Source organism: Homo sapiens, chromosome 2, assembly GCF_000001405.40.
Source record: "Homo sapiens chromosome 2, GRCh38.p14 Primary Assembly".
Classification (NCBI taxonomy): Eukaryota; Metazoa; Chordata; class Mammalia; order Primates; family Hominidae; genus Homo; species Homo sapiens.
This window is the reverse complement of record NC_000002.12, coordinates 161152217-161176826: the sequence shown is the minus strand read 5'-3', so window position 1 is coordinate 161176826 and position 24610 is coordinate 161152217. Positions and strand designations below refer to the sequence as shown.

The 24610-nt window shown below is 37.4% G+C and overlaps 1 protein-coding gene and 1 long non-coding RNA gene across 14 annotated transcripts in view, besides 9 other annotated features; one reads left to right on the top strand and one right to left on the bottom strand.

The window, feature by feature from the left end:
* TANK (TRAF family member associated NFKB activator) overlaps nucleotides 1-24610 on the bottom strand; it is a 99268-nt gene that overhangs the window by 59404 nt on the left and 15254 nt on the right. For 2 of the 13 annotated variants that reach the window (XM_047441805.1, XM_047441809.1), the window contains exons 1-2: nucleotides 16341-16399; nucleotides 15415-15542 (exon numbers count right to left, since the gene is read on the bottom strand). The exons of 3 other annotated variants lie outside the window; for them this stretch is intronic. In XM_047441805.1, the coding sequence (XP_047297761.1) occupies nucleotides 15415-15539 (125 nt within the window). In that variant the 5' untranslated portion in view covers nucleotides 15540-15542; nucleotides 16341-16399. Of the gene's footprint in view, nucleotides 1-13373; nucleotides 15879-16004; nucleotides 16400-24610 lie in introns of those variants that run through there. 8 more of the 13 variants (XM_047441804.1, XM_005246207.4, XM_024452335.2 and 5 more) reach the window with 6 other exon arrangements.
* Nucleotides 6994-7163: an enhancer, noted in NCBI's record as "experimental_54734 CRE fragment used in MPRA reporter constructs". NCBI's record gives its function as "activates a minimal promoter by MPRAs in K562 erythroleukemia cells, with activity observed for both the introgressed and non-introgressed 2:162026260 variant alleles {active_cell/tissue: K562}" and the evidence as "EXISTENCE:reporter gene assay evidence [ECO:0000049][PMID:34662402]".
* Nucleotides 9555-9604: an enhancer, noted in NCBI's record as "active region_16707". NCBI's record gives its function as "activates an Ori minimal core promoter by ATAC-STARR-seq in GM12878 lymphoblastoid cells {active_cell/tissue: GM12878}" and the evidence as "EXISTENCE:reporter gene assay evidence [ECO:0000049][PMID:35858748]".
* Nucleotides 9585-9754: an enhancer, noted in NCBI's record as "experimental_54726 CRE fragment used in MPRA reporter constructs". NCBI's record gives its function as "activates a minimal promoter by MPRAs in K562 erythroleukemia cells, with activity observed for both the introgressed and non-introgressed 2:162023669 or rs3769979 variant alleles {active_cell/tissue: K562}" and the evidence as "EXISTENCE:reporter gene assay evidence [ECO:0000049][PMID:34662402]".
* Nucleotides 9585-10054: a biological region, named in NCBI's record as "ATAC-STARR-seq lymphoblastoid active region 16706".
* Nucleotides 9665-10054: an enhancer, noted in NCBI's record as "active region_16706". NCBI's record gives its function as "activates an Ori minimal core promoter by ATAC-STARR-seq in GM12878 lymphoblastoid cells {active_cell/tissue: GM12878}" and the evidence as "EXISTENCE:reporter gene assay evidence [ECO:0000049][PMID:35858748]".
* Nucleotide 9669: a transcriptional cis regulatory region, noted in NCBI's record as "Neanderthal adaptively introgressed variant 2:162023669 (GRCh37/hg19 assembly coordinates) or rs3769979 in the experimental_54726 CRE". NCBI's record gives its function as "modulates activity of the experimental_54726 enhancer by MPRAs in K562 erythroleukemia cells {active_cell/tissue: K562}" and the evidence as "EXISTENCE:reporter gene assay evidence [ECO:0000049][PMID:34662402]".
* Nucleotides 10065-10114: an enhancer, noted in NCBI's record as "active region_16705". NCBI's record gives its function as "activates an Ori minimal core promoter by ATAC-STARR-seq in GM12878 lymphoblastoid cells {active_cell/tissue: GM12878}" and the evidence as "EXISTENCE:reporter gene assay evidence [ECO:0000049][PMID:35858748]".
* Nucleotides 12336-12505: an enhancer, noted in NCBI's record as "experimental_54722 CRE fragment used in MPRA reporter constructs". NCBI's record gives its function as "activates a minimal promoter by MPRAs in K562 erythroleukemia cells, with activity observed for the introgressed 2:162020918 variant allele {active_cell/tissue: K562}" and the evidence as "EXISTENCE:reporter gene assay evidence [ECO:0000049][PMID:34662402]".
* Nucleotides 15926-16689: an enhancer, noted in NCBI's record as "H3K27ac hESC enhancer chr2:162016649-162017412 (GRCh37/hg19 assembly coordinates)". NCBI's record gives its function as "activates a minimal SCP1, AML or CMV promoter by ChIP-STARR-seq in naive H9 embryonic stem cells {active_cell/tissue: H9 hESC(naive)}" and the evidence as "EXISTENCE:reporter gene assay evidence [ECO:0000049][PMID:30033119]".
* TANK-AS1 (TANK antisense RNA 1) overlaps nucleotides 16537-24610 on the top strand; it is a 64199-nt gene continuing 56125 nt past the window's right edge. Inside the window, exons 1-2 of the long non-coding RNA NR_187173.1 lie at nucleotides 16537-16695; nucleotides 17591-17662. This is a non-coding gene — a long non-coding RNA (TANK antisense RNA 1). The remainder of the gene's footprint in view (nucleotides 16696-17590; nucleotides 17663-24610) is intronic.

Here is a 24610-nt window from a genome sequence, read left to right as displayed (position 1 = left end):
GTACCTTTAGATCTGAGACAAATAAGAGCCTCGAACTGGAAATCCATCTAGTCCCTTGCTTTGTTCTATTACTGACTGACCCTTAGTTAAGGGCCACTAAATCTTTTGGGACCAAAGTTTCTTTTTCTTCAGTACAAAAAGGTGTTTGGACCCAATTTCTAAGAAACTTCCTTTTTCTACAGTTCTTGAGTTTGTGAGTTAAAAATGCATGTCTGTTCTATCGAGAAGGTGCATTCTTGTTTTTAAAAATGTAAATGCAGCACTAAAAACAGCTGCATCATATGCAAGTAAATCATGTGGAGCCATCCCTTCAGGTCCTTGAATTAGATCACACAAATGTCACTGAGAGAGGAGCTACTGAGTAAATTCCACACGGATGCATCCTATTTCCTGAAATAAGAATGTATGCTAAAGAAATAAGTTCCAGGTTGATACAAATAAGTAAATGATACTTTTAATTCCTATTTCACAACCAAGAAGATAATTAGGTGTTAGATCAGCAACACTGACCAGAGAAAAAGGAAAGTCTCTGGGACTCAGCTAATTAAACTGGACAGATTTCAAATATTAACACCCTGAACTTTAAAGTCACTTGTTTATTTATTTATTTTTGGCATTTGTTAAGTATAAAATTAAGAGGCAGCTACATTTCAATTACATTTCAGTACATCTTCCACAATATTTGCCAGACTCCAGGAAAATGCTTTTTACTTATAGTAAACATGCTCAAACCTAAATCTCATGGTTAAGCTCATTCTCCAAACCCAAGAGGCTGATGCTATAGCAATCTCTCCCTTGAAAACACTCTCCTAGTTAGGGTTTTGCTTTATTTCTGGATTTGGTTTGCTGGTTTCCTTCCATTACATGAGAAAAAAATTCTGAAATCCCTGAAGGTAGCAGGGCTAGCTCAATGCAAATCACCAACCCAATCTTGTCCCCTGCAGTTCTTCTGGAGCCTGGATACTCTCATCTACCCACTGTTGTCAATCTAGCAGTAATTCCTTTTTTCCTACCCAGACCAGTGGTTCAGACAAGCAAAACTGAGGGCAGTCGGTTCTTGTCCCACCTCTCCAGCCCAGTGATTGCCCATGGTGTGCCTGTCCATGAAGAAACACCAAGAAAATCCCTGCTTCCTCTTTCATTGATCCCTTGGTTCAATAATGAAACTGTCCTGGAGTAAGAGAGGTAGCATGAGCAAGAAAGATAATTTTCTCTTCCTTTGGTAAAGCTTCCCAGCCCTAGCAAAACTTTGATTTTAATAAAATATATCCCATTACCATTCAATCAGAACAAGGTATTTGCTGGCTTATGATGTGTAAGGCACCATATGGGGAACAGCAAGGGATTCAGATATAGTACTATCTTAAAGTTATGTTTCTTTCACAAAGTATTTTCACCAATTCTTCATTTCCTATTACATATTAACATTCCTCTTTGACTGATAAGGCTCAGAAGGCTTAAATGACTTATCTATAGCTATAAAGCTGTGTTATGAACTAGATTAAATCTTTAAAATTCTTGGTTCAAGGATTGTTCATTAGAGTCAGCTGCAAAGTGCTCTCCCAGGGTGTTATGGTCAATATGCTTATTTGATAAAATATTTAGTGCCAACTATGAGCAGAAGTGTGCTGGGTACCACTGATACAGTAAGAATGAATCAGACATGGCATCTCCTCCCATGAAGGTACCATTAACTGTAACTTGAAGCATATAGTATATGAGCATCCTAAGATATCCAAAAGGCTAGAGTTTGGAGAGGAAAGTTAATCTATTTATGAAGTTTAGGAAAGGCTTTGAGAGGTAGGTGGCATTTGAATAGAGTGTTGAGATATAGGTGGGAATGATCTTACCCATTCCTTTTATTTAATTATCAAACGGCAGTCATCCTTTTTCAAACAGGTTTCCCACTGTGATAAGGATGTTTTTAATATTAAATAATATCAATTCTTTACTAAAACAGGCAAGGATTATATGCATTTCTTATGCACTGCTCAGTTTGATTTTCCTGATCAGGACAACCATGCAAACCTGAGACAATTCTTAAGCATAACAATGATGGTTACTATAAACATGACGGATTACGCTAAAGCTTTCCCCATGATGCCTGAAAGCAAGTAGAGGTGGAAATGAAAGAAAAGGCAAGTTCTGCAGCCTTGATTTTCTTTGTTATTAAGACAAAGAGTTTGGATAATAGAATCTCCTTTAACTTTATAATTGTATAACATTACCAAACTATACACAACATAAAAACTTTTGCTCAGCAAATATGGTGACTTATTTTTCCTCATAAATGATATCATATATTTAAAAACAGTAGCTGCTTTGTCTTAATTTATGTTACAAATTAAGCCTTGATTGCAAACCAGTTGCTAGGGCATTTCATTTCACAATGGTGAGAAGCAAGGAGTAAACTTTATATATAGAGTGTCCTGGAAGTAAAGAGATGATATGATACTGTAAAAATATGTGATATGAAAAATATGTGATTACAAGTAATACTGTGAAAATTACTGTGACTTTTGTTTATTCAATAACATTTATATATTCCCTCCTAAACACTTTACTAAATAGACTGAAAAAAAATACAGCCTTTAAATTCAGACCCCAGATCTGCAATTTCCTAGCCATTTACTGAACTCTGAACATCACTTTTCACATCATACATAGTTGTAGGGTTACAATAAAAATTGAGACCATATATACAGTAAAAATTAAGTAAAACTTCAGTGAGACCATATATATAAGATATGTTATTTGTTCCTCAATATCTATTCTCTCCTTCTCTTATAGTACTAATACTTCTGATTTTTAGCTGGTGTGGTCATGTGACTACGTGCTAGTCATTGGCAAATGGGTGTAACTTCCATAACAAGTTTTCCCTTTCACCTTTTTTCCCAGCTGGTTGGAATGTTACAGTGACAAGCCACCTAGAACACTGTGATGCAGGCAACCCTTGTTTAACCACTGTTTTGTGGGTCTCTAAAGGAGGAACTGAGCTGTATCCTGATTGGTACAATGTTCAAGACTGGTTCAGTGTTGAACACACAATAGGCACTCCTTTTCTCCCTGGGAAAGTGAAAAACAGTCATGGTCTTTGCCTTTTTCTCCAATTAGAGCTTATAATTGAGTGAGGCAGACACACATGAAAATAATTAGCCAAAAGGTCAATTATAAATGTTTAAAAAAAAAAGGTCTGGGCACATCTTCACAGAGGTCTGTGTAGCACAGGTATAAGCATTTGTAGACCTCAACCAATGGTTCACTAGAGATTTACGCATTTCATTCACAGTTCTACCTAAAAAGAAGAAGAAAACTGTTAAGTAAAAGGTATAAACAAGATAAAGGCTCAATAGAAGGAACAATCAAAATAAGGATTGTGGAAGGCTTCACAGAGGATCTGACACTTAAACAGAGTCCCGAAAGATGAGAAGAGTTTCAACAAGTAGAGAATGAGTGGGCAAAGTACATTCATTCTGAAAGAGCAGAGGCCCTGAAAAGTCATTAATATGGTGCATTTTAGTGAAGGGAGTATTCTGTTTATGCAAGTCTAGCATGTGTGCAGAGATGATAGCGAGGTGAGGGTGCCATGATAAGCTATGGTCAGGGTCAGCATGTATGACTGTGCTGTACTACAAAAATTCTAGGGAAGACCATACATAAAGACCATGATTGGAATGGCATCCTATAGAGCTGTAGAGTACACTGGCTGCATAAACCACATGCAGCAGACTCAGTTATGGCTAGACTATAGTAGACCTCGAATGTCACTCTAAGAAATTTAGACTTTAACATGTTGACACAAGGAGTAATGAGAGATTTTCAAGGAGATGATGGACATATTTTAGACAGAACAGATAACAGCATGGACTACAAACTAGCGAGGGAGACAAAGTGAGGCTATACCACAGGCAACTAATGCTGTATTCTAGGTAAAAGATGAGGGCTTGAACTAGAGCAGGGGAAATAAAGATGAGTGGATTCAAGAGGCATTTCAAGAGTAGAATCAACAGGATTTGGTGGCCGACTGGATGTGCACAATAGACAAGAGGGCAGCAATTCAGGTACCTGTGACTGCAAATCAGTTGGCCTGAAATGGGACCTCAGAATCTACATTCTAGTTAGCAAAGCGCCTCAGGTGATTTTGTTGCAGATGGTTCACCAGCCACTGGTTTTCAAAACACCCAGTAGAAAGTGGTGATAGCCAGACATAAAGTGACAGAAAGAAAATTTTCAGGAGGAGAGGGAAGATACTGAATCTAATTTTGGACAACAGTGCTAGAAAAGACATCATAATAAAGAGGAAGAAAGCATCACCTGCATAATTATCTATAGGAAAAAAATGAAGATAACTATGCCTTCACTATTGTTTGTATTCTTGAAGTCCTGTTTTTAATGTCTCCTGATACTAGTACATCCTTGGATGGCCAATTAGGCCAAAATCGTTTTACCCCCAAAAAAAAAAAAAAAAAAAGCCGAAAAAAACTACATTTTTGAAAAGAAAACAATAGAGAAAAGCAATACGCATTATTGTACCACCTTATAGCACAAGATGTACATGTTTTTCCTACCAAATATAAACCAAAAAAGAGGACAGGCCCACTTATTATTTCTTTGAAGGAGGCCAGAAGGAAAACTAGGAAATGCATAAAATAGTGTATGACATTTTGTGTCTGTTATTTTATGTAAAAAGACTATTAATCCAATATGTAGAAATGTTATCTAATGCTCTGCTTTGTTAACCTTTCTATGCTGTTAAATAACAGGAAAAACAACTCTGGCAGAGTATTTGAATGCAAGATTTTCCTTAAGTATCTTCTACTCTACCAGATTTATAAATAAATAATAAGGTAGTACTAATGATTTTTCAAAAGAGTGGTACAGTTTGTATCTATCCTCTGGTCTTAACCAGAAAAGTTTGAAAAAAAATATTTTCAGTAATCTCAAAAAGGTCCCCCAAAACACAAGACAATAACAGAAGTCACAGGCTACACAAGATTCATAAATGGTAAAGTTGTTTCGAAAGAGAAGTAGTTAAAATCTTATGAGTTAACGAGTTGGCTGCCCCTCGAGTATCCCTGAGTCATTTACTGTATCAGAAAAAACCACTATGGAGGAAGAGAGCTCTTCTATGAAAAAAGAGTTGAAATTTCAAGAGATAGAGGACCTTTTCACAAAAGGGCCTAATTTCTCTTTAAATCACAATTTAAAATAGCTGAGCAGCCATTTAGCCTTGAGAACATTACCAATGATAAATAGGAACAGGCAAAAACCTACATAATTATAAAGCTTTACTCTGTGCTCTTAACCACTGGCACAGGACTCTACAGCTCTTCATATCCCTTGTTTTTAATTTCCCTGAGGACATCCATAGGCTGCTGGATTTGCAAGTCACAACTTGTTTTATTAGAAGTAATTGTGAGAACTCTAATGAAAAAATAAATAAGGTTTCAGAGATTTCCGGATCTCCATTTTCAGCCATTCTGAAGATGTTTAGGGTATGACTTTAACATATTAGCTTAAAACCAGATCTAATATTTTTAATCCAGTACCATGCAACAAGTTCTCTCCTTCAGACTGTTGAATATTCCTAAAGAGAAGGCTACAAAAATCCCTGGGCAGCCCAACAGATCAACATTCCAAACTTGCATCTGTGCCAAAATTACCCAACTTTCTACCCTTTTCAAGGCCACACCAGTTTACCTCAAATATGAATATTCAGACCTAGTAAATCTTAACACTTGCTGTGCCACCCTACTGTGGGGAAGTAATAGTTGATTAGAAACTCAGATTTGCTGTTTCACTTCCTTTTGCCTCTGGAAAAAAATAAAAAGACACTATAAAATAAAGATTGCAAATGATATTTTTAACTATACCACATCTTGTGTAAAATGTACTAATTTCTCTGCTAAGGCAATTTAGATCAGATACTCTAAATTAAAAAGCCTAGTCAACTGAAGATAAAATCAGAGTTGAAGTATACAATACATGTCCAGTCTAGACAGGCTTGGTGATGGGTGAGAGTAAACAAGTCATTTAACCTTTCTATGGACCTCTGTTCCCCCATTTCTCCCAATTCAGAATCTTGGCGTAGAGTCAGGCTGTAGGACATTGGTTCGCAACCTGTCAGTAAATTAGAATCATCCACGGTGGTTTTAAAAAATACATTACCAAACCCTGTCCAAGACTCCTGGATCTAATTTTGTACAGTGGGGAGATGTAAGATGGATTTAAAATTACTGCCATAGGGGGTCGAGTCATAGCTTGGAAAGCACTATAAAATGCTATACAAATATGCACCAACGCAGGGAAACAGGCTTTCATAAAGTTGCCTTTTTTCCCATAGTGATCTGCTTTTTAATTATTCTACAAGAAGTATATAGAATTTCGGAACAAAAATAGCAGTTGCTAAGGTAGAAGACTTTCTCAAATAAATAAATAAAGGTATTTTGATACTTTGGCAGATGGCCCAGAGCAACAGCACTTTGTTCATCTTGCTTCCATAAAACTTCCACAACTCATCAACTTAATTAATAGAGAAAACAAATGTTTTCTCTATTAATGGCATTTGTTGAAGTTCTTGTTGAGAAATTTGACTGACCATAGCCCATCTCCCACTAAGTAGCAATGACACTTTTAACTTGATGTTCCTCCTATCAATACTCTAATCATCTTAATTCTATTTCAATTCTCAAACTATCTACAGATAGTTGAGAGACAAGATAGATCTCAAAGACATGCCTTTAATTCAAAGAGGCACAAAGAGTCATGGATAAGAAGGACAATCTCAGTCTTCTGTTTGGATGGCAATCATCCCAACAATGAAGAAGGTGGTTCCCTATTTGATCATGGGAAGCACTGGGGTTAGGGTCGGAACAAAGATCTATTTGCAGGTGCTTTACATAAACTACCTCATTTTTAATCTTCCCTCTGCAGAAGCATATATTGTCTTCCCTTTACAGAGGAGGAAACTGAACTTCAAAACTGAGCTTCAAAAGGGTAAATAAGTTGCATAAGGCACAGAATTAGAAAATGGAAGAACCAGATAAACCTAGGTCTCTGTTGCTAAAGCACAATCTCTAGCTCTCTCCCCTCTAATTTTTTATTTTAATCAGAGCTATACGTACCTATATCTTAATGAGTTGTGTAGTTCTACAAAATAAGAAAAACAGTAGTCCTCTGCTTTCCCCTTCCTATTTCCTGCTTCACCTTCGCAACAAATTTTGACTAATTCTTTTTTGTATTTATCTCTGTATCCCTAAATAACATGTAATACTGCCACTACTGATTTTTCAGTTTTTGTCTCTTCATTATGGAAAATTAGGATTCAGCTCTCTTTAAATATCCCCTACCTCCTATTCTCCCCCATTTCCCCAATACAGTTATATCTAATTTTTCATTAGATTAGCATTCAGCTTTTACTTTCTTATTACTATGTAATGCTATTCACTGTTGAACAATACCATGGATACTTTTCCTTTTCTGAAAACTTTTTTCCCTGAAAATTCTTGTTTGCTTTGTTTCCTATTATCACTAATACAACTCCTCAATATATTCAGACACGTCAGGTATTCTATCTCTTTAGAAGAATCACTCTGTAAGCTTTCTGGCTTGCTCCAATCTAGACTAGTTGCTCTCTATGCCTGATGGAAAGCCTTCATCTTGGGACCTTCTTTACCTTGAATTTGGGGATACCCTTTGTCCATCTCTTTCTTTAATTGAATCCCTCATTTTCAGTCTCCTGAATCTTGTTTTATATCCCCACGTGGTGACGCAAATCTTGTAGCAGCTTCCTAAGAAAGTGTTTGGGAAGTAAATTTTTTGAGGCTTTGCATAACTAAAAATATCTTTACCCTCTGACTTAACGGATCCTTTGGCTAGATTAAGAGTTCTAGGTTGGAAGTAATTTTTCCTCAGAATTCTGAAAGCTTTGCTATGCTATCTTCTAGCTTCTGTTTATTTTTTTTGAGGATCAGATCCATTTTGATTCCTGATCTTGTACAATTCTCACTCTGTTGCTCGAGGCTGGAGTGCAATGGTGTGATCTCAGCTCATTGCAACCTCCACCTCCGGGATTCAAGCGATTCTTGTGCCTCAGCCTCCCCAGTAGCTGGGATTACAGGCGCACGCCACCACACCCAGCTAATTTTTGTATTTTTAGTAGAGACGGGGTTTCACCATGTTAGCCAGGATGGTCTTGAACTCCCAGCCTCAGGTGATCTGCCTGCCTCGGCCTCCCAAAGTGCTTGGATTATAGGCATAAGCCACTGTGCCTGGCCTTAAACCGATTTTTTTCTCTTTGAAAACAATTAGGATTTTTTTTCTTTTTGTCCCTAGGATTCTGAAATTTCAGGACCATACTTGGCCATGGACTATATCATAGCAATAGGTGTTTGGTGGGCCCTTTCAATCTGGAAATTCCTCCTTCAGTTCTTGGAAATTTTCTTGAAAATTTTTTGGGGCAATTTCTTTCCTTTTGTATTCCTTTCTGGGACTTCTACTATCTGGGTTTTGAATCTTCTGTACTGGTTCTCCAATTCTCCTTATTCTGCCACTCCTTTTAAAATGAACTTCCCTCCTTATTTCATAGTGAGAAATAAAAACTTTTAATGTGAGGAGTGCAAACCCATTTTAATTATCAGGCCCAGAGAGGCACTGAAATGTAAGTGTGTGACAGCAGTCACACCTCACTCTCCCGTGAACTAAATGACCCTCTTGAAGCTACCTACTATGTGATGCCAAGTAGCCATAAAATGCCATACGTTAGATACCAAAACTCATGCCCTATAGTTCAACAATGTATAATCACTAATCAATGTTATTTCTGTAAACCAGTGAGAATTCCTATCAAATAACTTAGTATCAGCCCATTCTTTGCTCTCTTTTGCCTTTAAAAACCTGGTTGCGGCCAGGCACGGTGGCTCACACTTGTAATCCCAGCACTCTGGGAGGCCGAGGCGAGCGTATCACAAGGTCAGGAGATCGAGACCATCCTGGCTAACACGGTGAAACCCTGTCTCTACTAAAAAATACAAAAAAATTAGCCGGTCGTGGTGGCGGGCATTTGTAGTCCCAGCTACTTGGGAGGCTGAGGCAGAAGAATGGAGTGAACCCAGGAAGCGGAGCTTGCAGTGAGACAAGATCGCGCCACTGCACTCCAGCCTGGGTGACAGAGAGAGACTCCATCTCAAAAAACAAAAACAAACAAACAAACAAACAAAAACCTGGTTGCAACAAAGGCCGAATGGAGCAACCCCCCAAGGCAACCTGGAAGTGTGTCCAAGGCAGCTGTCGTCAACCTTTACCCAAATAAATTCCCCATATTAATTTTGCCTCCATTTCTTTAGGTTGACAATAGATACAATATCTTAAGTCTGTTGTCTTTGGCAGCCATTATCCTGCCAAATGACAGCCAACCAATCCTGGATAAAGAAAGTAGTAATCAAGGGTAAGTAGTGGTGCCTCTGGAGCTGCACTGAGGCTGACAGTGTATGAGCCAAATCATGTTCCACCTCTAACTGCCTGTTCAACCAGAACATCTGAGCTTTGATCAGTTATGTATATATACATTGGAATTCCACGTTTGAAGAGAATCAAAGGCTTAAAGGTAGGATTTTCGCCATCTTGACCCCAGGATGATTAGTCATTCTTTAGTAAGGTCTACTTTTTTGTAGGTGGTTGAGACAAGTGTGAGTAATTTGGGAGGCAGGCAAGGCCCCTCTGCTGGGTTTCCCCAACTGCTGAGCCTATTCTGTTTCTGGGTAAATGTTCTGCCAGAGTTCACACTTGTGGTGAGAGACCAACTCAAATCTAAAGCAGTTTCAGGATGGGGAAAGGAAACCACCTTGAATAACTGCTACTCCTTCCACTTTGCCCTAGAAAAGAAAGCCACCAGCCTTTCCCAACCCCTTGGGCTATGAATAAGAGGAGTTCATATTCTATTTCAGAAAAGTTGCCACTGTAGTACATAAAGAGGTGAATCAGTGAATGAAAGACAAATTCTGTGTTTTTGTTTTGTTTTTTGTTTTTTTTTTGAGACAGAGCTTCACTCTGTCCCCCAAGGGTAGAGTGCAGCAAGTGTGGCGGTGCAATCATAGCCCACTGCAGCCTGGACTCCTCGCCTCAAGCAATCCTTCCACCTCAGCCTTCTGAGTAGTTGAGATTATAGGCGTCAAGCCACTGTGCCCCACTACATCTTGGTCTTTTCTGTATCTTAGTTACATGCTTGCCTTCTCACCCACAAAACACATCAGGAGTAAAAAGCAAAAAAATCAGTCAACAACACGACATATACACATAAATAAGACATCTTCTCTTTTGGATGGTTAGGAAGATCTTTAAAGACACTCAAAAATATTAAGTGTGTTTTCCTTACCTGAAGAAAGGAAATGGAAGAGAACTGTCACTACTCACATTTACTTGTGATCATTTTCCACTTTTAAGGAGTTATATAACACAAGCAGCTAATTCCCCAACTGACCTCTTGCATTTCTATTCTCCTTCCACATTGTAAACTTTGGTCATGAATATACCCATAGCATATTGTACTACGCTGTTTCTGTGCTCCATCCAGGCAGCTGATATAATAGAAACCTTAAATATCATAAATCCAGCAGTGTTAGAATTTGAATTTTGTATTTTTCCATAAGCTGGAAGGCTAAATGCAACAGGATAAACAAGACAGTCTCACTGGTTAAACCCAAAGGTCCCCAGTACATGTTCTCCATTTTGCTGGATGTTAGAACTTGGTGAAATTTTCTATGTGATCTTGCAAGAGCTAAAAGATTTCACTGTCAAAGACCACACCCATGAGTCTCAGTTTTGCCTTACTTCCTTTTTTTCTCCAGTAATACTTCTTTCTCTGAGACTATTTATCAAATGTTATGGGTTTAAGTGCACAACTAAACAGTATAACACCAAAAGGGAAAGCAGGCATGTGATGTTCTACTCCTCTGAGGTGAACGTAAACATGGCACTGCTCAGTTGGCTGTGCTGAACTGAGTAATCTTTAAGGGGTATCCTCTCCTCTGACTAGGGGCAATGTTAGAATCTGAAGATGGGGGAGGAAGGATATACAATTTTGAAATAGTTAATATTAAAAATCTATTACATAAATCATATAAAGAAGGACTTTGCATAATATTCACAGATGAGGGAACTAGAAGAGAAAGTCTGTAGTCAGTATGGTGAGGTGTAGAGGAGGAGTAGGACTGTATGGGAAGGAACATGTATTACAATCCTCTAGGATTTGTGAGATTTTAATGTTTATCAGAAAGGAAATATGGATTTTTAAAGGTTGAGAAACAACAATCTCAAGGGAAAGGCATTTCTACTTTTGGGATTCCAAATACTTGAGGTTATGAAACCACATTCCAGTAAATGCCACATAATAAATGGTTGTGAATAGTAAAACCACTTAAATCTCTCACAATAACAGTTGATTTGCTGATTCCAAAAATCCTTCTTCAAGCAATTAAAAAAAATCCTTTATTTTGAAAGAATCTAAGTCTCTAACTTCTGTCCCTTATAGCAAGTCACTCTCTGGAAAAACTATTACCTGATTGGGTTGTTTCGCTGTTCAATAGAACAATTCTCATACTGCAACTATTTCAAAGACTCTCATAAGTTCAACTTGCTAAGTAACCATCAAAATGGAACTCATATTAATTTTCTTTGTCTACTCAATTTCCAGTAATTCCTTACTGCAATGACTTAAAATACTTTGTTGTCAATGTTAGCAACCTATTTTCAGTAGACCCTTCCTTTTGCAAAAAAAAAAAAAAAAAAAAAGTATTGGTGTTAAGTAAAAGCTATTATAGATCACTAGTACTCAAAATGTTTACTCTCATAACTTACTACTGATAATTACCATTTATAGAGAATATATCTCTGAAGGTAAAAAGTTACTGTCCAGGAAATTTTCCATGAGACAAACAATTGCCATCATTTACTTCCCAAACTCTTTTCCTTAAGAAAAATACGTCCCTTTAAAAATGTTTTTCTTGGTTGCATAGCAATGTGAATGCACTTAACATTATTGAACCATATACTTTAAAAAAAGGTTAAGATGGTAAATTTTATGTTATGTGAATTTTACCACAATTTAAAAAGCTTTTATAGATTAGGAATTGGAAAATGTGACACATGTACTACATAAGTCCCAAAGCCTGTTTTCAGTTGCATAGGGCTTGGTACCAGTTACCCTCAACTTATTTGAACAGTGACCAAATACTGCACTTAGTTCAAAAGACTTTGAAAATTAATTAACAACTCACTGAAAAGGTAGTTCATTTCATATTCTGTTATCCCTTCCTGAAGATAATCATAATCTTGGTTCCGAACTATAAAGCGATTTTTGTTACATATCTAAATAATAGCCTCCTCTTTCCCTGTATTTATGATTCAAAACCATGGCAGCAAGCATAGGAGATAACAGGTGGGAAATGGCAGCCACAGCATAAATCCTACAGGAAATAGAAACTAAAACTAGGCTTTACGTAACTGAACACAAACGAACTGCAATTAAACAGTAATATTTTATGCTTATAAGGTGTTAGAAAACAAAAAGGATAAACAGTAACAGTCAATCAGCTAATGCATAGCATCGAAATAGCGAAGCTTTATGTCAACAGTCTATTTTTATTTACCATTTGCTTTTGGACAAAGGTATGGTTTTAAAAAACATGCAGTCTTCTTTCATCATAGGGCAACTCCCCAATTATTTTTGCTATAGTAGCCCATAAATGGAAATAAAATACCCACGCATTCACATAATGCCTGCATCCTACTGTTAGTAACGCTTCAGTGTCTGTAGGTATCCTCCACAGTTCATAGATGCAAACTGCTAAATTACATTACCTGTCTCAGGTCATATTCTTGAAGGTGATCAAAAAGCATTTGAAATAATCATTTATAAAAGTCTATCAAAGATTACACTATTATCGAGGTATTAACAGTAAACCATTAGTCAAGTAAAAAGGTGGGCTTCTGTTAGATGACAGCACTGCCCCATGTGCGTGCACATACCATGCACATACCTGAACTATGCTAATGATTTTCACTTCATGTTAAATAAGTATAAGCATGTTAAGCTTGTATATTTTTTCACCCACTCATTTTGAAACCCTCTGTAGGATTTGGCTACAGTAAAATGTCAGCTTGGTTATTACCTTTAAATTAAGAAATTTCCCGGCAAAATTGGGAAGCTAGTGACAATAAAGTGAAACTGATGCTTTCCCAGTTGAGTTTCACTCTTGGTTTCTTTCAGGGCATAGACAAATTTGCCCATGTAGAAGCAATACCCTTGCTTCTGTAACATAACTGAAGAAGAGAAGAGAAAGAATAGCAAGACATTTTACTTAACAGCCTCAGCCTACCTACAGCATTTTTCCTTGTCCATGAAAAAAAAGTTGTGTGTAGGGGGGAAATAACCAGCATCAGTACAGCAGCTGTTCTTAGTTCTTGACATTACCGTGTCCCAGACTCTTTCATTCAATTGTATTTACTCCAAGGAGTTTTTGTTTGTTCTGAACCATTTTGCTGAGTATTGTTGCTGTCTTAAGAACAATGAACTCCCAGACCCACATGGTTTCATGAGTGAATTCTTTCAGATCTTCAAAGAGCAGAGTTCTTAGGCTATTTAAACTACATCAGAGCGGAGGAAGAGGAACTCTGCCCAGTTCTTTTTAGGAACCAGCATAACCTTGATACCAAAACCTAGCAAAAATAACAGAAAAAGGTGAGTATAAAATGAATCTCAATCATTGATTTTAAATAAAAATGCTACCAAAGGAACCAATATATACTTAAATATTACACCATGACCAAGCGTAAGATTGGTTCACAAACTGCAAATATACTAAAGTAATTCACTATCCTGTTAGGTCAAAGATGAAAAGTACCTATGAAAGGTTATGATAGATGTCAAAAAGCCATTTGACAAAATCCAACTTCCATTCCTGATAAAAATGTTAAGAAGTAATGAATATACACACCAAATGAACATCCAATATCTATTATTTAAAATTGTTCTCAAAGTGCTATCTAATACAATAGACACTCCCCATCCCCAGTTGCAAAAATGACTTTGGATGCAATCCAAACAGTTCTCTGCAAAAATCACAATGAGCTAGAAATATTAAAGGAAACTTCCCTGATAAATATAATTTATTAGATATTAATAGTAACTTCATATTTAATGATGACATAATAAAAACATCCCCAAACTAAGAAACAAGATAAAGGATGGCCAGAATCACTGTTTTATTTACCACTATTCTGGGGAAGCCAGCAATTCACTAAAGCAAAGAAAGAAAGAGATAAGATGAATTATAATTAGATGATTGTTTTCCTAGAAAATTCAAGTGAAACAATTTATTAAAATTAATAAATTTAGAAAGTTGGCCAGATACATAAACACTCATCTACATACCAGTCACAAAATATAAGAAAATATAATGGTTAAATCCCAAAAAGAGTATTTTAATGAAGCATGAACAGTTTATGTTAAATTTTATCTCAAAGATAATGCAATTATATTCAAGAAAATTTTGAAAAGGAAAAATGAAGAGGGACTTGTCCTATGAATTACTAGAAAACGTAATATCAAAGCAGATTGGTATTTTTAAAGGAAGAGACAAAAAGATCAAAGCAACAGATGAGTCTAAAGAAAAGATGCATGTACACTTGAGAATTTACTATATTAAGGAGGTATTTCTAGTCAGTTGGGAGAGAAATGATTTCAACAAATGATTTCAGGAAAAAATGGCTGCCTAGTCATAAAAACAAAGAAAAAAATTAAATCCTTATCTTAGCATACAAAAATCATTTTCAGATGTTTTAATGAGTAAATCATAAAAAGAGAATTAACAGGCAATATAGGAGAAGATTTTAAGAATTTTTGAGTGGGGACTACCTTCTTACCTGAGATAAAAAGCCTGGGCATTTTAAACCAAAGCATTGATAATTCTTGAAAATATTTGCCATATATTTCACAAAGGATTAATGAAATCTGTAGTCTAATGAGAAACAGATAATTTTGAAGAATACTGGGCAATATATACGGACAGGACATAGTAAGTGACAGTTAACTATAATTTGGTACATCTACACAATGCAGTACCACGCCAACATTACAATAAAATAGAGCTACATATGGCAAGACTTTCACCATATATATATATTTAATCTGAAACAGATTATCGAACAGTATGCATAATCTCATTTTCATAAGAAAGCAAAATAACATGGTTATGCACATACAGGAAAGATGTGGAAGGCTTGGATTACAACTGGGGAGAGGACTGAGAAGGATTTCACTTCCTGCTTTGCACATAGTTGTATTATTTGAGGATCCCTCCTCTCTCAAATGAGGACACAATAATTTTTAACAGAATGCACTGCTTGCTTCTCTGCTACCTCTCGTTTGGGTGTGTATTCCAACCGCGGTAAGAAGGCAGGTCATTTTCTTTTCCTTCAATTTCACGTCGCTTCTTCACTTCCTTTACTACCATCTCTCCCTTATTATAACTTGTCAAAAGCATCTCCTGTGAGGTGAGATAAACACCACTTTACATAGCAAGGCTGCTTTACTTTTGCTCGTTATAGCATAACAATAAAGGCACAGCTCTTCTTTGATTATCCTCCCCCTTTCTACTTCTAGAAAAGCACAGCTTTTTTGCCTGTAACTCGTTGCTAGTCAGTTTACACCGGCGTGAGGACTCTACCTAACGCCTGGGTTCCCACTGTGGGCGGGGTTGGCTTCTGTTCTTCCTGCCTTGGCCACCCACTCCCTCCGTGACCCTCTGGGAAGTTACCCAACTTCTCATTGACCAGGCTATGATGACACCCCACAGGAAGGCAGAGGGGAATTGTGCAACCACCTTGGGAAAACAACAGAAAGAACCAATTAAGTTTTCGAAAGAGTAACCACGATACTACTTGATTCTAGGAGGCAGTCTCTCTCCCGAAGGGAAGTCGGGAATGTTCCTGGAGGGTCCACTGCTCACCTCGACACCGCAGGCCCTTCCACCCCCATTTCCCGGGCAAAGCAGCCGGGACGAGTCCCTCCCTTGAAGCCGTTGGGGCAGAGGCCGACGATGCTATGCTGACATCGCGGGCCCGGAAACCAACCCACAAGGAGTCCGCTCCGGGGGAAGGACTCGCGTGGTTTCTCCCGCACAAAATCCCTCCCCAAACTGCAAATTGGTTGTCTCCGCTGCTCCTCGGCTTCTCTCCCTGCGGCGCCCCTACTGTCAGCGCGTCCCTCTCGCTCACGCATACAAATTCTCCGACGTCGTGCTTGACGGATTCGGACACACCAATTCACAAAGTTTCTTACTCACACAGTTCACGCTTTCAGCTGCGTTCCCTCTCCCCTCAGGTCGCCGGCGCCTGGCCGAGTGACTCCAACCGGAAGTTGCATTTTGTTCCAGTTCAGAGGGCAGTGCCTGCGCGCGGAGCCATTAACTCTTCACCTCCACCCAACAAGGCCAGGGCCCTTCCGCCCTGCCCCACCCAGCCCAGGGCTCTTCTGCCCCGCCCCTGCCCGCCCCGCCTAGCGCCCTCCCCCAGCCCTGCCCAGCCAAGTCCCCGCCTCTTAGAAAAAAAAAGCGTCAGCAGCGGAAGAGAATCCTATGTCAAGTGTAAAGGTCACTTGTGAGTCTTTGCTGGATTTTTTTGCCAAACGATAAATAACCGGTAAATAAATAACCAGTAAATAAATAACATCACCCTATATATGAGTTAGAGTACACAAGAATCACCTGAGAAACAAAATGTAGTTTCACCAACCGACTCCTACAGCTTTCATTTCAGAGCAACTGGAGTGAAGCCCAGGAACCTGCATTTTCAACAGATCCTCGTAAATTTATGTAATTAAACGTGGTTAAAGTCCACACTCTGAGAAACACTACATATACACATACCCATTTGGTTTCTCCCCAACTGGTAGTATTTTTCACTAAATGTATTTGTTAAAGAGGAATGGCTGGAAATGGAGGTGGAACTTTATTAGAAAATTTCCCATGAATTAAGACTTTCCCATTATTCCAATTCCTAGCCATGCATGAATATTATCTAAGATTCATATCTTAGATACCGCAAGAAAGATATCTTTTCCCTTTAGGGCAAGAGGATGAGGTCTGGCTGCCCCAATTTCTCCCTGTATTTCTGAATCATGGATGTTTACACATCTTTCCTTAGGCCAGTAAGTCCAAGGATTTAAAAACCTGCCAAGTTGCAGTGCATTCTGTCTAGTTATCTTGAATGTTGCTGTATACTTTTAAAAGTCAAAGCCTAAATATATTTGAAACAATGTTTTTAACAAACAGAAACTTCTTATATATAACGTTTTGACCAGTTGAATAGTTTTCTTGTAATAAGTAATTGAGTTAAACATCACAATACAGTACTGCTTTAAAAAAATTATTTAAACTTTTTTTGAGGGCAGTTTTAGATTCACAGCAAAATGGAAAGGAATGTCCAGAGATTTTCCATATACTTTCTGCCCCGACACAAGCATAGCCCTTCCCCATTATCAACATCCCTCACCCCAGTGTGATGAAAAAAAGCTGTTATAAATATCTGTGTGCAGGTTTTTTTGTGCGGACATAAGTTTTCATCTCCTTTGGATAAATACCAAGTAGTATGATTGCTGGATCATAAGGTAAGAGAATGTTTAGTTTTGTAAGCAATTGCCAAATTGTCTTCCAAAGTGGCTACCATTTTGCATTCCCACCAGGAATGAATAAGAGTTCCTGTTGCTCCAAATCCTTGCCAGCATTTGGTGTTGTAAGTGTTCTGGATTTTGGCCATTCTAATAGATGTGTGTCATATTTTATTGTTGTTTTAATTTGCATTTCCCTGATGACATATGACGTGGAGGATCTTTTCATATGGCTATTTATTTACCATCTGGTTAACTTCTTTGGGGAGGTAAAGGCCTTTGGCCCATTTTTTAATCAGGTTGTTTTCCAAATGTTGAGTTTTAAGTGTTCTTTGTATTTTTGATAAGTCCTTTATCAGATATGTCTTTTGCAAAAAATTTTCTCCTTGTCTGTGGCTTGTCTTTTTACTCTCTTGACAATATCTATTGCAAAGCAGAAATTCTTAATTTTGATGAAGTCCAGTTTATTCAGCACTGCTTGAGCAAATTAAATAAGCTGATTTGAAGATTTCTGATTGAAATAGTGGAATTTAGTAATATACTCAGAGTCTAAAGCTGAATGCATAGGCATTTTGAAATATGGAGGTGCTAAAAACTTTGAATAAGGAAATAGCTAGATATACACATTTCTTAAATGCGTATTTTTCTCTTTCCACTTCCATGATGTTGTAGTCTTGAAGAGAAGTGGCTGCATAATTCCCCTGTATGTGAAATATGCATAAATGCTGGTAGAATTATTTTGTAATCAATGCTAAAATGGCATCAAACATTTTCCTTTTCCTATAATGATGATTTTTTAAGAATTCACATACAGTATGTTTTACAAAGGTTAGAAATTGAGTTGACATTTATTTGAGGAATAATCTTTTAAAATAATGACATAATTTTATTCCAATTTTCCTTCACTCATATTATTATATACCTCAAGTTAGTGAGCAGTGATGTGGCTTTGGAGGTTGGGTATGGTGGCATGAAAATGGGGAACTGACCAGGTGTGGTGCTCACACATATAATCCTAACACTTTGGGAGGCCAAGGGCAGAGGATCACTTGAGCACAGGAGTTTCAGACCAGCCTGGGCAACATAGTGAGACCACGTCTCTATTTAATAATATTAATTAATGAATTATTATTAAAAGAAAATGAGGGAATTGCAGGCCTTTAAAAGATATTTTGGAACCTGGACGGGTGCAGTGGCTCACGCCTGTAATCCCAGCACTTCGGGAGGCCAAGGCGGGCTGATCACTTGAGGTCAGGAGTTTGAGACCAGCCTGGCCAACATGGTGAAAACCCGTTTCTGCTGAAAATACAAAAATTAGCCAGGTTTGGTGGTGCACACCTGTAATCCCAGCTATATGGGAGGCTGAGGCAGGAGGATCACTTGAACCCGGAAGGCAGAAATTTCAGTGAGCCAAGATCACGCCACTGCACTCCAGCCTGGGCAACAGAGAGAGACTCTGTCTCAAAAATATTTTGAATCCTAGTTTTAAAACTGCTTAATAATTTATTGAGACTTCTGAATATAAACCTAAGGACAAGGAAACCTGGCAATATAAACAGTTACTATGACTTGGAATGTCAGTTATGTTCTCAGTCAAATCTTTGATGTGCAATATCACTATTAATGGAATCTGGTTGACTTCTGATTTACGATGACATCTGGACTGGCTGATTATATTGCAGACTCTCCAACTAAAATGGCTATGAAAAATCAGAAAAACATGAGAACTCACAATGGCCTTGGAAGGCAGACTGACAACCAGGGCCACTGTGTATGGTTGAGCAGGCTGTGCTCAGTTGCAAAGCCTTGCCTCCTTCAGCCTGTGTCTTCTCAGAGAGGTGCTTTTTCTAACTCACAGAAAAGTACCATAAGAGCAGCTATAACCCTGTTGACAAGCACCCTAGTTCCAGAATTTGATAGGATACTGGACTTATTGCAAGAACTGTGAAGCTGAAATGGACATGTACTTTTTTGTTGGAAGGCAATCAAAGGTGTTGGTATGGAAGGATAGTAAGGAAGCTACCTGCCTCACGGCCCCTACTAGTAATTCCACTACTATGTGTGATGGCTAAGAAGTATTTTACACCTCTTTGCCCTAATCTCTCCCATTAGTTTCTCCACTCTATGACCCATTTTGGAGCTACGGCCTAGAGAATACCAGCAATAACCCAAAGGGAGTGGATAGGTGTAATGCTCTGTGTCCAAGCTTAGGAAACTAATAATGAAAGGGGTTGGGCAGACAGAACTGGGTGTTTGTTTCTCTGGGGGTTTACTTTTTCATATATGGTTCTTATCAAGAAAAAGACAAATCATTGTTTCTGATTAACCAGGAATTCTTCTCTTTATAGTAAAATAACTAGCTATTAAAGGTAAGGAATCTCACCTCAGCCCAACACCCGCAGTGACAAAGTTGATAAATGTCAGCTTCAAACCAAAAAGTTAGCTGTTGACTGTGCATGTCTATATGTCTTCCAGTTCAACATCTATGCTGAAGAACTTAATAGCATCAGACAGATAATGAGAAGAGCCAAGAACCAAAATCCACACATTCAGGTAGTAAGGTTGACACAAGGCTTGGAACGAGTAATTCAAGAGAAAGCATCCCTTTGAAAAGATTATGCTGTCTGAAAGAGAGTCTTCAAAATACAAAGAAAGTGAATACTTTGGAAAATTATTTACCAGAAGCAGAAGTATATGGAGAGAATCTGCTTTGTATTTTCTATGCAAAAAGAGATGAAATACATGATAAGCTATTAGACTAAGATAAGGAGGGAACTAGAGACAAGGTGAAATAAAACCAAAGTTGGATAAGTTAAGTCTGTAAGGACACAGAACAACATGCAATGGCAAAATTCACATATAATTTGGACATAATCAAAGATGGAATCAGTATTGCAGAATAATAAATCAATGATTAGAGTAAAAGCTTGAAAAACTCTTCCAAAATATGACTGGAAAGTACAAATAGGTGACAACCATTAAAGGAAATGGTAGAAAGATTATGCCCCAACTTCTTCCTGAAGAAGAAATTGGGGTAAATAGAACAGAGACGGCAACCACAGATATATCAGAAGCTATCTGAAGTAATACTTTGAACCAATACAATACTTTGTAAAAATGAAAAGGACTCAATGTGTTTTGAAATATATTAATGACCTATCTTGTTAAAAATTTCAATATTAAATGCCCTATCAAGTCATTAATTTAATCAGTGAATATTTTGGGAATATTTGCTATGTGCTAAGAATTAGGGATAGAAAGATCACTAAGACACTGTCCTACCTTTAAAGAACTTGGTGTCTATACTGGGTGACATACATACAAGAATCAGGCAATTACTATACAATGTGGTATTATGATTTTTACATTAGGGGTAATATATGGTACTCTGAAAACACATTGGAAAGTCCATCATCCAGCCTTGAGAGGGTGAAGGAAGGCTTCTGGTATCTAAGTTATGGAAAAAGTTCGACAAGAATCCAGGTGGAAAAAAAATTAATTGCAAAGGAAGAAAAACTTGTCTTCAGCAGTAAACTTCAAAAGCTGAATAGAATAACATCTACAGTTGCCTGGGAAAGATTTGACCTATAGTGTCTGCCTACTCAAGTTATCATTTATTCAAGAAAAGGAAAACAAAGACATTCTCAGATACCTCAAGGTTCAAACATCATACCACCCATTTTCTGAAACAATTGAAGATATGCTTCCCTTATTCGAGAAGGAGTCAAAATTAAAAACTCAAGAAAGGTGAAATTTTGATATAAAATAAATATTAGGAAACATTTGAAATAATTTAAACATAAATTAAAAACATGTTGCAACTACAAAGCAATGGAAAAATGTAATTTTTGACACATAAGATATAAATTATTACCTAATAAATAATTTAATAATAATAATATGGTCACAACTTTCTGATTACAGCAACAAATATGCAAGTGGGTGGGAGAGAGGTGGCAGGAAGTAAATGTGTTCTGCTATTTTACTCATTTTCTAATCTATATATAGAAATAAGAAAATTACAGGATCTCATTCTAATAATTGAAGATGTATCATTTTAGTTTTTTTAATATGAAGATAAATAACTACAAGTAGAATTTAAAAGTGTACGCTTGTTTTTGGCTGCACATTGTAGCTCACACCTGTAATCCCATCACTTTGAGAGGCCAAGGCAGGCAGATCACTTGAGGCCAGGAGTTCGAGACCAGCCTGGCCAACATGGAGAAAATTCATCTCTACTAAAAGTACAAAAATTAGCCAGGTGTTGTGGTACACGTCTGTAATCCCAGCTACTCAGGAAGCTGAGGCACAAGAATCATTTGCACCTGGGAGGCGGAGGTTGCAGTGACCTGAGATGGCACCACTGTACTCCAGCCTGGGCAACAGAGTGAGACTCTGTCTCAAAAAAAAAAAAAAAGTGTATGCTTAATTTTTATGTTAATAGAGGAAGAAAGAAATTAAAACATTGTCCACATAATAAAGATTTAAATATCTTAATTCCCAACATTCAATCAGTCACCCAATCAGGTACATCATGTGAGTACTCCTCTGCAGTATTTCTTGCATGCTTACACTCTATGTCCCCATTGCTACTATCTATCTCCATTCCTACCCGTTGTTCAAGCCACCATCAACTCATAGTTTCAATGCTAACCTCCTAATTGTTTGCCTCACTTTCTCCCTTGTCAGATTCTATGTTGTTATGTTTCTTTACCACCTACAACTATTAAATGTCTTCCCCTCACCTTTAGAATAAAATCCAAAATCTTAATCCTGGAATAAGGCATCTTCCTAACTCTCCAGACTTATGTCCTGCTGCTTCTTCCTGGTGATTTTGGGCTTCTTTTAATACCTTAAGTGATCACTCTTTTGTCCTTTTCAGGTATTTGCTGCTTTCCTCAGCCTAGAACATGTTTTCCTCATATTTTACCTGGTCTGTTGAGTCCTCTACTGAATGATCTGATTCTAAGCTAGGCCACACTTGATTTCCTTTCTAGGTTAAGACTGTGGGCTTAGCTGTGGGCTCCTATTTTACCCTGTCCTTTCCTCTTTATGACATGCATTATGCTTGAAATTTCAAGATACATATTTGAATGTTTTTAAGCTTAGGATGGCCATTATGACTGATATTAGAGAAACTTATACTCACTAGGCAGAGTCCTAGGTTATCATTGCCCCCACGAAGGCAAACTACAGCTGAGAGAAGCTAAAGCATGATGATTGTAAGTGAGAGTTCTGTGTTAAAGTTGCCTCGTTCATATGTTGGTATTGCCATTTACTAATCATATGACTTTACTAATCCTGTGCCTCAGTTTCTTTTCCTGTCAAAGGTCGAGTGTACTTGTCCAACAAAATAATGTATGAACAAGATCTGGCCTACAGGAGGACTGCAGTAAATATTGGGTAATATAGAAAATTCCTGTAACTTAGTAGGTGGTTCTACATGCAGTTGATTTTTTTTTTTTTTTTTTTTTTTTGAGACAGGGCCTCACTGTTGTCACCCAGGCTGGAGTGCAGGGCAGGATCTTGGCTCATTGCAGCCTTGACTTCCTGGGCTCATGTGATTCTACCACCTTATGCTCCTGAGTAGCTGGGACTACAGACGTGCACCATCATGCCTGGCTAATTTTTGTATTTTTTGTAGAGACAGGGTTTCACCATGTTGCCCAGGCTGGTATTAAACTCCTGAGCTCAAGAGATCCATCTGCCTCTGCTTCCCAAAGTGCTGGGATTACAGGTGTGAATAGGGATCACACCCAGCCTGATTTTTAATTTAAATAAAAAGTCATAATTATCACTTAAAATGTCTTTAAAAGTTCATACTGAGAAGGCCTCTATATTGGACTTAATAGAAAAAGACTTTCAATCAGTTGCCTTAAATATGCCCGAAGAACTAAAGAAAACCATGGACAAAGAACTAAAAGAAATCAGGAAAATGATTTATGAACAAAAGGAGAATATAAAAACATGATATAAATTATAAAACAGAACCAAATAGTAATTCTGGAGCTGAATGGCACAATAACAAATGGAAAATTAATTATAGGGGTTCAATAGCAGATTTCAGCAAGCAGAAGAAAGAGTCAGAGAATGTGATAAGATAGTTAACATCAAGCTTACCTTCTATGCATTGTGGGAGTCTTGAAGGAGAAATGAGAGAAATGAAGCAGAAAAAATATTTCAAGAAATAATGGCTGAAAACTTCCCAATTTGCTAAAAGTCTGAACCAGCTTATTCAAGTTGCTCAATGAACTCTAAGTAGAATAGACTCAAAAAAATCCACACTGAGGCATTATAATCAAATTATCCTTTAGCTCTTTGGGCATATTTAAGACAATTGACTGAAAGTCTTTTTCTAGTAAGTCCAATATCTAGACCTTCTCAGTGTGAATTTTTAGACATTTTAAGTTATAATTATGGCTAATTATTTAAATTAAAAATCAAATGCATGTAGAATCACCCACTAAATAACAGGAATCATTTATATTACCCAGTATTTATTGAGTTCCTTCTGTAGGCCAGGTCCTGTTCATATATTATTTCATTGTACAGATACTCTCAATTTTTGAGGCAATTTTTGAACTGAGGACAAAGAGAGAATATTGAAAGCAGCAAGAAAGAAGTGACACATTATGTGCAAGGGATCATCAATAAGATTAACAGCCAATTTTGCTTTGAAACTATGAAGGCCAGAAAATAGTAGAATGACATATATAAAGTGCTAGAAAAAAGTGTAAACCAACAATTCTATAAATGGCAAGACTATCCTTCAAAAATAAAGAAGAAATTAAGACATTTTGAGATAAATGAAAGCAGAAGGAGCTTGGTGTTAGTAGACTTACCCTAAAGAAATGATAAAGGGAGTACTTCAGGCTGACTACTAGGAGATAATTTGAGGCCATACAAAGAAATAAAGAACTTCAGTAAAGACAACTACATAGGTAAATA